This window comes from Homo sapiens, chromosome 2, assembly GCF_000001405.40.
Source record: "Homo sapiens chromosome 2, GRCh38.p14 Primary Assembly".
Lineage (NCBI taxonomy): Eukaryota > Metazoa > Chordata > Mammalia > Primates > Hominidae > Homo > Homo sapiens.
This window is the reverse complement of record NC_000002.12, coordinates 37066937-37080181: the sequence shown is the minus strand read 5'-3', so window position 1 is coordinate 37080181 and position 13245 is coordinate 37066937. Positions and strand designations below refer to the sequence as shown.

General features: G+C 36.1%; 1 protein-coding gene across 10 annotated transcripts in view; it reads left to right on the top strand.

Moving 5' to 3' along the window:
• Nucleotides 1–13245, top strand: part of HEATR5B (HEAT repeat containing 5B) — a 103478-nt gene that overhangs the window by 4191 nt on the left and 86042 nt on the right. For 7 of the 10 annotated variants that reach the window (XM_047444811.1, XM_017004378.2, XM_006712034.3 and 4 more), the window contains exons 3-8: nucleotides 851–1062; nucleotides 3163–3271; nucleotides 4548–4697; nucleotides 7901–8072; nucleotides 9795–9952; nucleotides 11252–11501. In XM_047444811.1, coding sequence (XP_047300767.1) covers nucleotides 851–1062; nucleotides 3163–3271; nucleotides 4548–4697; nucleotides 7901–8072; nucleotides 9795–9952; nucleotides 11252–11501 — 1051 coding nt within the window. The remainder of the gene's footprint in view (nucleotides 1–850; nucleotides 1063–3162; nucleotides 3272–4547; nucleotides 4698–7900; nucleotides 8073–9794; nucleotides 9953–11251; nucleotides 11502–13245) is intronic. The other 3 variants (XM_047444812.1, XM_047444810.1, XM_006712035.5) reach the window with 1 other exon arrangement.

Genomic DNA, 13245 nt, shown 5'->3' with positions numbered 1-13245 from the left:
AATTCATCTCTTACTACTTTCTCTTACTCCACTGCAGCCAAACTGGCCTTCTTGGTGTCTTTAAGGATGCTAAGAATGCTCCAACCTCAAGGCCTTTATACTTGTTCCTTCAGCCTGGAATGTTCTTCCCCTGGGTATCTGCATGGCTCACCCCTTCACTTCTTTTCAGAGAGAGGCCTTTTCTAATTAATCCACGTAAAACAGTAACCACCCATACTATTCATTTGTTTGTTTGGTAAACTCTGTCCCTCCTCACTAGAATGTAAACTTAATGAGGGCAGGGACTTGTTTGTCTATTTTGTTCACTGTTGCACCCTAGTATGTGGCATACGTTAAGTACATAATAAATATTGTTTGAATAAATAAATGAATTCTAGATATTGATTATGGGTAGAGCTGGGTATTTTTTTTTCCTGTTGTCTAGGGCTCTTCAGTTTCTTTTGGTTTCATTTGCTGACCTGTAACTTTATGAACTACTGACTTCACTTTTACATAGGAAACCTATCTGGGTTGTAAGACATCAGTTGTCCATACACCCAATATTTTGCATCCTTTGGCTGTTGGTTTATTTCTTAGTAAGTTGGTCTCATAACTTTTTGAATCAGAGTCACTTTATTGGAGCTAACCTTTTGGCTTTGGAGGAGCATGAAGGAGAATATTTAATGTAGGAAAGAATGGCTCATTTCTTACAGAACTTTTCATTAACTTGAAAATTCTCACGGTTTATGTTTAATACAATATAGATTTTTAATTATTAGAGTGCCTTAAGTGTTAAGTGTTTTTTATTTTGATTAAAAGGTAACAAAAAAAATTTTTAATGATGTTCTTTTAAAAATTTTTTTTGTAACAGACCGATGTAAAGGAAAAACAGAAAAAACTTGTTGAACAATTAACTGGATTAATAAGTAGTTCACCTGGACCACCTACACGAAAATTATTAGCTAAAAATCTCGCAGCCCTTTATAGCATTGGGGATACTTTCACAGTTTTTCAGACACTTGATAAATGCAATGACATTATCAGAAATAAAGATGACACTGCGGCCTACTTACCAACAAAATTGTAAGTACTTACTTTAATAGGGGCCCTTGAAGTTTTATTTTTTCTTTCAAGGAAACTTAGTAGGAGACTATGGACCATAAAAACCCCCAGGTGGGTGGAACCTGCGACATGCTGCTAACAGTGAGAGCTCTAAGTGGATCGAGTTGTGATGGGAAGATAGTTAAATTTTAGGCATGCTGATTCTGGAATACAAATGGGAATATCCAAATGACAGTGTAAAATAGGTAGTTGGAAATTCTAGTTGGGATTTTAGAGATTTGTTGGGAATGTAGTTTTGGTGAGTAGGCTGAATCCTTTGATATGAGTAAAGTTACCTAGGAGGAGTAGTATATTTGAGAAGAGAAGATGCCTAGGGATACAACTCTAGAACGTCAACATTCAAGGGGCCATGGTCCGTGTAATAGCTTACAGAGGAAATGGAGAGATTATTCAAAACCTGGATTCTAATTTTTAGGTCTACTTTTAGGTAGTTACCTGGTATCACTAGGTAACTACCTAGATATATTGTGATTAGATTTTTGTGTTTTGTTTAGGATAGATGTAGACCTCAAAAGTTTTAGAGGAGATTAGACAGTACCAGTACTTTCTAGTTTGTTTTGAAGTTTGAAGCTATGTTAATACTTTAATGATTTAGTTCACTGCCACTTAGCAAATACACACATAATTTTATAGTTCTGGTTAAGTAGAATTGATTATACATTCATATGTATTTCCAGTGGATCCATGGGTCCTATTTAGGAAATCTCTAATGTATGCCGGCATGTGATGCCAGTCATTTTAAATTTATTATCAGCCTACAGGGTATCAAAAAGCATGAGATTTGGAGTTGAAGAGGTGAAAGTTGATTCCCTGATTCTACTGTTTATTATGTGTTTGATTGTGAGCTAAATTTAGTTAACCTCTCTTATCTGTAAATTGCTCAGATCACATAGCTTTTATTTATTTTTATTTGTTGGAGCGGGAATGACTCGCCTCATGGTAGACCACCTGCCCACTTCCAAGATCCAACTACACATAGCTATTAGATGGTAGGTTCTAGGATTTAGGCACAGGTCTGCTAGACTCCAAAGCATCCGCTCTTAACCACCATGTCCTACTTTTGCCTTTAAGCTAAACCCACAGCTATTCACTTACTATTGACCTAAGTGACACTGGGGTCATTTCTTGCTCCTGAAGAAGTGTGTTGCTATTATTACTTTATTCTTCCAAGTGTTCTGTTAATGTAATTTAGATTAAATTTTACAGGTTTACTAATAGTATAGTATTATTTGTAAATTAAGAGGTAGACACTGTGAGCAATGCAAATATGTGAGCTATATTCCGTTTCTGGAGTTTACATTTCCACTGGCAGGACAAGATAGAGACATATAAAATGGTCAAGTTACAACACAGTAAATGATATAATTTTGTCAAAATCAGTGATTGACATTAAGTGTTACATATAATGAAAGAAGAGAGGGATTGTTGAGGCTTGACATAATTTGGAAAGTCTTCATAGAAGCAAAGCTTAGGGGCCGGGCGCTGTGGCTCACGCCTGTAATCCCAACACTTTGGGAGGCCGAGGCAGGCGGATCACCTGAGGTCAGGAGTTCGAGATCAGCCTGGCTAACGTGGTGAAACCCCATCTCTACTGAATATACAAAATGAGCTGGGAATGGTGGCATGCACCTGTAATCCCAGCTACTCAGGAAGCTGAGGCAGGAGAATGGCTTGAACCCAGGAGGCAGAGGTTGCAGTGAACCAGGACCACACCACTGCACTCCAGCGTGGGTGACAGAGTGAGACTTTGTCTCCCCCTAAAAAAAAAAAGAAAAGCTTGGATTTCTTCCCAAAGAATGGGTATGATTTATTATGTACATATATAGATTCTTTTGTATTCCTAACAAGAATACAATTTAACTATAGTATTTAACAAGAATACAGTGTAAATAGAGTATAGTATTTGTTGCAGTTATGAAGCATAAATTGTTTTTGATAGTTGAAATTAAGGATTATAGCCAAAAGTGTCCTAGACAAATGCAAATTGATTTCTAAAAATGAGAAAAGTATAATTGTATCATTAACCTGGACAATGACTAGTGAAGTTGTCACTTCTTACAGGGCTGCGGTGGCTTGTGTCGGAGCATTTTATGAAAAAATGGGGAGAATGTTGGGCAGCGCATTTCCAGAAACGGTAAATAATCTATTGAAATCTCTGAAAAGTGCAGAGGTAAGTTTTACAACCAATATTATTTGAATATTTGCTTGTGGCAAGAGTTAGATGTCAGCTAAAATATGTTTGTTTCTTTTTCTGTCACTGTGGTCTCATATTGCTTAGCAAGGAGGTAATTACAAATTATTACTTGTCCCTTCTTTTAATGTATATCAGGGGGAAGGGAAAGAATGCTTTTCTTTGACAAGGAATAGGTTTACTTGTTATTTTTTATTTAGTCCTATGGTACTTTTGGATTGGCTTTTTTTTTTTTCTTTTTTTTGGTGCCATAGCTAATGTGTTAATTTCCTGGTTACTGTAATAAATTACCTTAGACTGGGTGGCTTAAAACAACAACAATTTATTGTCTCACAGTTCTGGAAGCTGGAGGTCTGCGATAAAGTGTCAGCAAGGCCATGTTTCCACTGAAGGATCTAGGGAAGAATGTTTCCTTTCCTTCTTACCTTCTAGTGGTTGCTGGAAATCTTTGATCTTCCCTGGCTTGTAGATGCATCTCTCCCATCTCTGTCTCCTTTGTCACATCACCTTTTTCCTGTCCCTTTGTGTTTTGTGTCTAAATTATTTCCCTGTTCAGTGATACCAGTCATTGGATTAGAATTGGATACCTTTTCTGGGAACTATTTGTCTATTCATTCATTAAAAAAGAATTGAGGACTTATTATTTGTCAGGCATTAAACATACAAAGATGGTCCTGACCTCAAAGAACTTACAGTTTAGTGGAAGAGAGCTAAGTGTGAATAAGCATTGTGATACACTGTGATGAGTATACTATCAGAAATAACAATAAGCACTATGAGAATATGGATATAACAGTTTGAGTTAGTCACAAGAAGATGAAGGTTTGCTGTATTTCTGACATGTTTTTTTAAATGTGTTGGATGTTTTCTGCTTCCTTTTTTGGATCATTTATATATTATTTCTCAACTTTTTTACTTAATATTTTACGTTCTGAAATATTTTATATATTGAGATATGATATTGAAGCTTTTGAATCTCTTCATGTTTTCATTATATTGTATGTACTTCAGTAATTCATAGAAATATTGGAATATATTTACTTAAAACCTAATTTTTTAGAAAGATATTATTTAATTGACTATTCTTACTTGCCAGGTACTTTCTAGAATACTTAATTTTATTGTACTTTTCATTATTTACCGTTTATAATTTGGAGGTAAGACCATTAGACCCAAAGAACTTTTGTCTTGGTGTGTTCTTGTTTAAATATGGAATTTATTTTACAAAATAGTTTTGTTTTGTATACATGTCTAGTCTCAAGGGCGAAGTGAAATCTTAATGAGTCTACAGAAAGTTCTAAGTGGACTGGGTGGTGCAGCAGCTTCCTCCCATCGTGATATTTACAAGAATGCCAGGTCTCTCTTGACTGATAGGTCAATGGCTGTTCGATGTGCAGTGGCCAAGGTTAGTACTCGACCAATTTAGAATACTGCTCTTTATCCTTCTTGCTCTTAAACAGTCAACGATTTTTTTTTCTTTTAAAATTTTAAATTATGTTTTGTGTTCCAATGGATTAGTTTCATTTTCTAGAATTATATATAATAGTATCACATCATGAGATGTACTTTTGTGTATGTGTATTCTGGCTTCTTTCACTTAGTATAATTGTTTTGAAATTCATTTATGTTGTTATATGTATCCATAGTTCATTCCTTTTTATTGCTGAGTAGTATTTCATTGTATGGATATGTCACATTGATTTGTTCACTCACCTGTTATAAACATTTGAGTTGCTTCTAGTTTTGATTATTACAAAAAAACTGCTGTGAACATCTGTATATAAGTTTTTGCACAAACATATGCTTTCATTTCACTTCCGCAAATAACCTAGGGATGGAATAGCTGGTTCATAGGGCAGATTTAGTTTAACGTTCAGAAAAGTACAAAACTGTTTTCCAAAGTACTCGTGCCATTCTGCATTTCTACTAGCAGTGTATGAGAATTTCTCTTCCTTCATATCATCACCATTGTTTGTTACTGACAGTCTTTTTAATTTAAGCCATTCTAATGGATACATATGTCATTGTATCTCATATCTCAATGGTATCTCATTGTGGCTTTAATTTGCATTTCCGTGATGACTAATGATAAGCATATTTTCAGGTGCTTATTTGCCATCCATATCTTCTTCGAAGAAGGATGTGCTCAATCTTTTGTCCATTGTTTTATTGGGTTGTTTTATAATTATTGACTTTTGAGAGTGTTTTATAGGTTTTTTACATATTCCTTTATCAGATATGTGATTTACAAATATTTTTCCCAATGGGTGGCCTGTCTCTTTATTCTCTAAACAGTGCCTTGTAAGGAAAAGAGATTTTGAATTTCATCCAGTGTATCAATTTTTCTTATATGGATTGTGCTTTTGGTGTTGTATCTAAGGAAACATTTCGTAAACCAGGGTTTGTCCTGTGTTTCCTTCTAGAAGTTTTATAGTTTTATACTTAGATATGTGATCCATTTTGAGTTAATTTTTGTATATGTTGCAAGGTTTGAATCAAAATTTTTTGTTTTTTTTTTCAATATGGATATCCACTTCTTCCAGTACCATTTCTTTTTTTTTTTTTTTTGAGATGGAGTCTTGCTCTGTCCCCAGGCTGGAGTGCAGTGGTGCGATCTCTACTCACTGCAAACTCCGCCTCCCGGGTTCACACCATTCTCCTGCCTCAGCCTCCCAAGTAGCTGGGACTACAGGCGTCCGCCACCATGCCCAGCTAATTTTTTTTGTATTTTTAGTAGAGATGGGGTTTCACCGTGTTAGCCAGGATGGTCTCGATCTCCTGACCTCGTGATCCGCCCACCTCGGCCTCCCAAACTACTGGGATTACAGGCGTGAGCCACCACACCCGGCCCCTCCAGTACCATTTCGAAAAGCCTATCTTTTCTTCACTAAACTCCGTTTACACCCTTTGTTGAAAATCAGTTGTGTGTATATGTGTAGGTATAATTTTGGACTCTCTGTGCTGTTTCATTGATCCATTTGTCTATCTTGATGCCAACAACACTTTTCTTCATTACAGTTCCTTTGTAATAAGTGTTGAAATCAGGTGCTGTTAGCCCTCCAACTTTGTTCTTTTTCAAAATTGTTTTGCCCAGTCTAGGTTTGTCAATGTCTGCAAAAATACCATGTTGGGATTTTGATTCAGGTTGCATTGAATTTGGAGAGAATTGCCATCCTAATAATATTAAGTCTTCCACCCTATGGACATGATATATCTCTCCATTTATTTTGGTCTTTCATATCTCTTAGCAACATCTTGTAGTGTTAAATGTACAAATATTGACAGAATACAAATAAGACTGGGGAAATATGACTAAAATCATGAATTCTATCAATGTCAACGTCCAGGCTGGGCGTGGTTGCTCATGCCTGTAATCCCAGCACTTTGGGAGGCTGAGACGGGTGGATCACCTGAGGTCAGGAGTTTAAGACCAGCCTGGCCAACATAGCGAAACCCCATCTCTACTAAAAATAAAAAAATTAGCCAGGCGTGGTGGCATGTGCCTGTCAAATCATTTTTCAGCATCTATTGAGATGATGATTTGATTTTTCTTTTTTAGTTTGCTAATGTGGTGAATAACATTGATTAGTTTTAGAATTTTAACCAATATTGCATTCCTAGGATAAACCTCACTTGGTCATGATATATCATCCTTATTATATATTATTGTATTAGATTTGCTAGAAGTTTGTTTAGAAATGTGTATCTGTGTTCATGAGGGATATGGGTATGTAGTTTCTTTTTCACGTAGTGTCTTTGTCAGGTTTCAGCATCAAGGTGATACTGGCATTATAGGATTAGTTGGAAAGTTCCCTTCAGTTTTCTGGAAGAGTTGGTATAGAATTGGTATTATTTCTTACCTGAACATTTTGTTGAATTCACTGGTGTAGGCATCTCCTAGAGTTTTTTTGAGGGAAAGATTTTGAAGTACAGAATCAAATTTTAACATAGATACTGGGCTATTCAGGTTATCTGTTTCTTCTTGAGTGAATTGTCTATTTCCTCTAAGTTGTCAATTTTATTGGCATAAAGTTGTTCACATATTCTCTTTAACTTTTTAAAACATGTTGAATCTGTAGTGATTTGACCTCTCTCATTTCTGATTTTGGTACTTTGTATTTTTACTTTTTTTTTTTCCTGATCAGCCTGACTAGAGATTTATCAAATTTATTAGTCTTCTTAAAGAAGCAGCTTTGGTTTCATTTCTATTCTTTGTTAGTTTCCTAGTCATGAATTTCCTTTATTATTTCCTTTTTCTGCTTACTTTGTGTTGAATTTGCTCTCCTTCATCTAGTTTTTTAAGGGTGAAGCTGAGGTTATTGATTTGAGACCCTTCTTCTTTTCTAATGTGGTGGTTTAGTGTTACATGTTTCTCCCTAACTAGAAACTCTCTCAAGGCAGTAGGCTGGGACAGTTGTAGGGTTCATCTTGTTTTTTTCCTCAAAGATGCTTCATTGCCTGATGTCCAGTGTCTTGAAAACTGTTGTTTCATTTATTTTGTCGAGTTTTTTGGTTATCTCAGGAGAGGTGGTAAGTCTGGTTCTTGCTATTCCATCTCTGGAAGCAGATGTTATAGGATGTTATTTACTTTTTTGTTTTTAATTCCAGTGTCTACTAGAACTACAGAATGAAGCTGTATTTATGTGGACTGCTGAACTAGAAAATATAGCCACTCTCTGCTTTAAGGCTTTGGAAAACTCAAATTATGGGGTACGAGTGGCAGTGTCTAAACTTTTAGGAACAGTCATGGCCACAGCATTAATGCCAAAACAGGCAACAGGTATTGTTGTTTGCCCTTGATTTAGACCATAACAGACCTAATTAGTTATTGCATATAGGCAAGTCAGTGTAATGGATTTAAATTTTTAGGTATCTTTGTCTACTTTTCCATAAAATGAAAGAACCTGGCTGGGCGCGGTGACTCATGCCTGTAATCCCAGCACTTCTGGGAGGCCGAGACAGGTGGATCACGAGGTCAGGAGTTCAAGACTAGCCTGGCCAAGATGCTGAAACCCCGTCTCTACTGAAAATACAAAAATTAGCCAGGCATGGTGTCATGCACCTGTCATCCCAGCTACTTGGGAGGCTGAGGCAGGAGAATCGCATGAACCCGGGCAGCAGAGATTGCAGTGAGCCAAGATCGCACCACTGTACTCCAGCCTGGGCGACAGAGCAAGACTCCATCTCAAAAAATTAAAAAAAAAAAAAAAGAACCCAAATGGCATTTTCCTTGATGTAGTCACATTTTTTGTGATGATAATGTACAGGATATCTAGCAATTATGCTGGACATATAAGCACATAAGATTTATGAAATGATTTTGGATAATGTATAAGGTACTGGAATCTGGCACTTTATTTGCTACTTATTTTCAGCACTTTATTTGCTATTTTCTGTCTCTGATGAGTAGATCCCCATTTGTACCACAGTATTAATTTTTAATTTTTCTTGATTATCATTATAAACAGAATCAGAGGCAGCACTGAGTTTTCAAATTACTCTTGCTTTGCTTCACAGTTCCGTAGAGATATCTCAGGGGTGCCTGTGAGCAGATGCTGAGTGAACCCTGCCCCAGTCTTGTCCCTACCTCTACCCCACCTCTGTATCATAGAAAGAGAACCAGATGTTTTAGGTTCAAGTCCTGTCTCTTATATTTATTAACTGTGAAACCCTATTTCACTTCTTTGAGCTTTGATTTTCATCTTTAATGATAATTATTTCAGTAGATGATGATGATGATGATGATGATGATGATGATGTAATGTTTTAAAGTGCTAACTATGTGCCAGGCACTGAATTAAGTGTATTACAAAATTTAATCCTCATAAAAGCCCTTGTGAATTATATGGACTGTTACTACTATTTTATAGATGAGGAAATTGAGACTTAGATTCTGTAACTATTTTTCTAAAAACTGTTCTGTGTCGGAAATGAAATTCAAATTCCGGGCAGCCAAATACCAAAGCTTGAATTCTTAGCCATGAGCTTTATACCTCCTCTGCAGAATTTTTGTGAGGATTGCATTTGCTACTATATGTGGAAGGACTTCATAAAATATGAAACTCTGTACTAGGGATGCCAATTCAGTTGCATTCCCAGTAACATCTTAATCTATTGGTAACTACTGTATAGAAAGCACTGTGATGAGAAAAGTTTTTTGTGTCCACCTCAGGCGGGAATGAGAACTGAGATCAGTTAGTAGTATCTGCTGTGGGTATGCTTTGTCCTTATTGTGTTACACATAGTATTATTATTATTAGACTATTTTGCGTAGATTTATTGAATTGCTTTTATTTCTAGCTCTTTCCATTTTCTGAGCATTTTTTCCTTTGGAATTGAATTCAGGCTTACAAGTACATTGAAAATTTTAAGAAAACAATTATAAGGAAACTAAACCATTTCCCCATTGTAGTAAAGTGTCCTTAAAAATAATTACTTGAATTATTAAGCTAGAGTGCCTCAGAAATATATTTGCTTATACTTTAATTTTTCTTCTTGAAAGTAATGCGTCAGAATGTGAAGCGAGCAACATTTGATGAAGTCTTAGAACTCATGGCCACAGGATTTCTGCGTGGAGGGTCAGGTTTCTTAAAGAGCGGTGGAGAAATGTTAAAAGTTGGAGGGTCCGTTAATCGTGAAGTGAGAGTTGGAGTTACGCAGGTTTGTAACACGTATGTGTGAAAGAATTTTGGCCAGGCACGGTGGCTCACGCCTGTAATCCCAGCATTTTTGGAGGCCAAGGCGGGCAGATTGCCTGAGGTCAGGAGTTTGAGACCAGCCTGACTAACATGGTGAAACCCCATGTCTACTAAAAACACCAAAAAATTAGCCAGGTGTGGTGGCGCATGCCTGTAGTCCCAGCTTCTCAGGAGGCTGAGGCAGGAGAATCGCTTCAACTAGGGAGGTGGAGGTTGCAGTTAGCCAAGATTGCGCCACTGCACTCCAACCTGGGTGACAGAGCGAGACTCCATCTCAAAAAAAAAAAAAAAGATTTTGTTCATATCACTTGTGAAACTTCGTGGAAAACTGTTACTAAGTAACAGCTCACAGAGACATTTTTAATATTGTCTGGTTTCTTTCGAAATGTTTCTTTTACCGAATGAATGAATTACATTCAAATTCCAAATTACATGCTTATATGGAAATTCGGTAGATATTTAATAATATATAAATAAGCCTGTGTCTACCATATTTGTGTAAATATCTTTAAATGAAGTTCCTACATTTTGCTTAACAGAAAATCAGATATAAAGTAACTCAGTTTTCATTGAAACTGTATTCAGGTAGCTTGAGCATTTAGATTTTAATATTCTCCAACAACCCTGTAGCTAAAAATACTGGTTAATGCTTTGATTGGATTTTCTATCAGTGTTTAATCACCAGTGTAATTATAAGATTATATCTGACTTGGAATTATAATTTCAAAATAACACGGAATAAGAGGTTATGGTTAATGATCTAATAATAATTAACACCTAATAAGATGAAATGGTGATCATAGTCAAAATCACGATTTTAGTCAAAATCATAACTGTACCTTGATCCTGAAACAAGTATAAAATATAAGTAAACAATTTTTTAACTTACAGAAAAAGTCGTACGTAAGGGTTTTATAGCTCTAAGTCAGTGTTTATTTAGGATGTTAAGGTTTTCTTGTTTCTGTAACCTGTTACCTTCCCGATCACTGGGGTAAATTCAGCTTCCCTTCCCTCTCACTGCTGTCCCTTTGTGTTCTTCATGAAGTTGTTATCTTAAGAACTGTTTTTTGGTCAAAGATACTTCACTAATAATTCGTATTCCAGAAGTAGTAAAAAGACCTCAAGTTTAAATTTTCTCTGTTTTAGCCTCAAATACAATTCATTCAGCATGCTGTTATCAGTTATTTTAGTAGTTGCTTTATCTTTGATTTCTGTTCAGTTATGTAAGTGTATCTGAAGTCGTACCTTCCTCTTTTTACAGGCGTATGTTGTTTTTGTGACAACATTGGGTGGTCAGTGGTTGGAGCGCAGCTTTGCCACGTTCCTGTCCCATGTACTTGATCTGGTTTCCCATCCTCGGGCAACACAAACACATGTGGAGGCTGTGTACTCCAGACGATGTGTTTCCTTTATCCTAAGAGCTACTGTGGGCAGTTTGCTAGGTGAAAAAGCCCAGATTGCAGCTGCCAAAGAAATCTGCCAAGCTATTGGAAAACAAATGAAAGCCGTAGGTAAGAATCAGTATCATTATGTGTGTTGATTACCTTAGTCATTTAGTTCTTTATTATGATTCTTAATAAATATCCATAAGACTGATTAGTTTATCTTTCTGTGTGTTTTCATAGTGATTTTTATTGAGTACTCTTATTTGATATTAAAATCACATAATTACAGTGAAATAGAGTTTTTAAAGATTTGGGTGGTATGTTGGTAAGATTGTGTTTTCTGTTTTATTTCTAGTACCTATACGGATTTTATAACTTTTCTGGCATGCAGCAGCACATTGGTTGCTGTCTTCAAGGAGTAATCTATTGTCCTCTTTCTGCTTTTAGAGCCTGTTGTTTTATAAACATATATTTTTATTGTTTCTTTTCCTCCCCTCGTAGGCTTAATATGAAAACTTAGAGAGGAACAATTACAGATGGTTATTAGCCCGCTGTAAGATGTACTGTGAAACCTCAGTTATACATAATTACAAGAAATTCTTTTCTAAAATACCAGTTTTATAAATTTTTCAATTTAATAAATAGTTATTGTCTTAGATTTGCAGAGCAGTAATTCAGGGTTTAAATAATGAATGAGATAAAGTTTCTCCCTTCATGGAGCTTTTAATCCAGTTATAAACTAAATATAAAAGCAATACTAAAAGCAAGGCAAAAATATAAATTCTAAAAGTTTAGTTTTTTCACTATTATTCACTATTTCACTATACTAACTTTAATAAGGGAAATTATATTGACTAATAGAGGTCTTTTGAAATAAGGATTTAATGAATAAATATCAATAATTTATTTTTTAGAGATATATGTATGAAATGTTTTATGAAATTAGTAAAAAAATATAAATAGTTGTAGTTTTTGTTGTTTATAATGGCTTACTTAGTAAACTCGTTTTATTTTTTATTTTATATTATTTTATTTGAGACAGAGTCTAGCTCTGCTGTCCGGGCTGGAGTGCAGTGGTGCGATCTTGGCTCACTACAACCTCCACCTCTCAGGTTCAAATTATTCTCCTGCCTCACCCTCCTGAGTCAGCTGTTATTACAGGCGTGTGCCACCACACACCCTGCTAATTTTTGTATTTTTAGTAGAAACAGGGTTTCACCACATTGGCCAGGCTGGTCTCAAACTCCTGACCTCAAGTGATCCACCTGCCTTGGCCTCCCAGAGTGCTGGGATTACAGGTATGAGCCACCACGCCCAGCCAGTAAACTAGTTTTAAATGTATAGAGCTAACTGAAAATTATGAATCGTGAATTAAAGTGTTTAAATTAATGAGATATCATTCCTTAAATATGCTAAAATAGTCATCTGTCTTAGATTCACAACTTAAAGAATAATTTGCACATTGATTCATTGAGGAAATGTTTAGTGCCAGAAACACCGCGTCAAATGGTGGGAGTAAAATAGCAAGCCAGATGCATACAGCACCTATCCTCAGGGAGCTTAAAGTTTAGCAATCAAAAGCTAGAGTTTATGCATTTCCAAGTCCAGAAATACCTAAAAACAAGAGTTATTTGGCCAGGCATGGTAGCTCATGCCTGTAATCCCAGCACTTTGGGAGGCCAAGATGGGTGGATCACTTGAGGCCAGGAGTTCTTCAAAAACAGCCTGCCCAACATGGCGAAACCCTGTCTCTATTAAAAAATACAAAAATTAATCAGGCGTGGTGGCGTACACCTGTAGTCCCAGCTACTCAGGAGGGTGAGTTGGGAGGACTGCTTGAACCCAGGAGGCAGAGGTTGTAGTCAGCTGA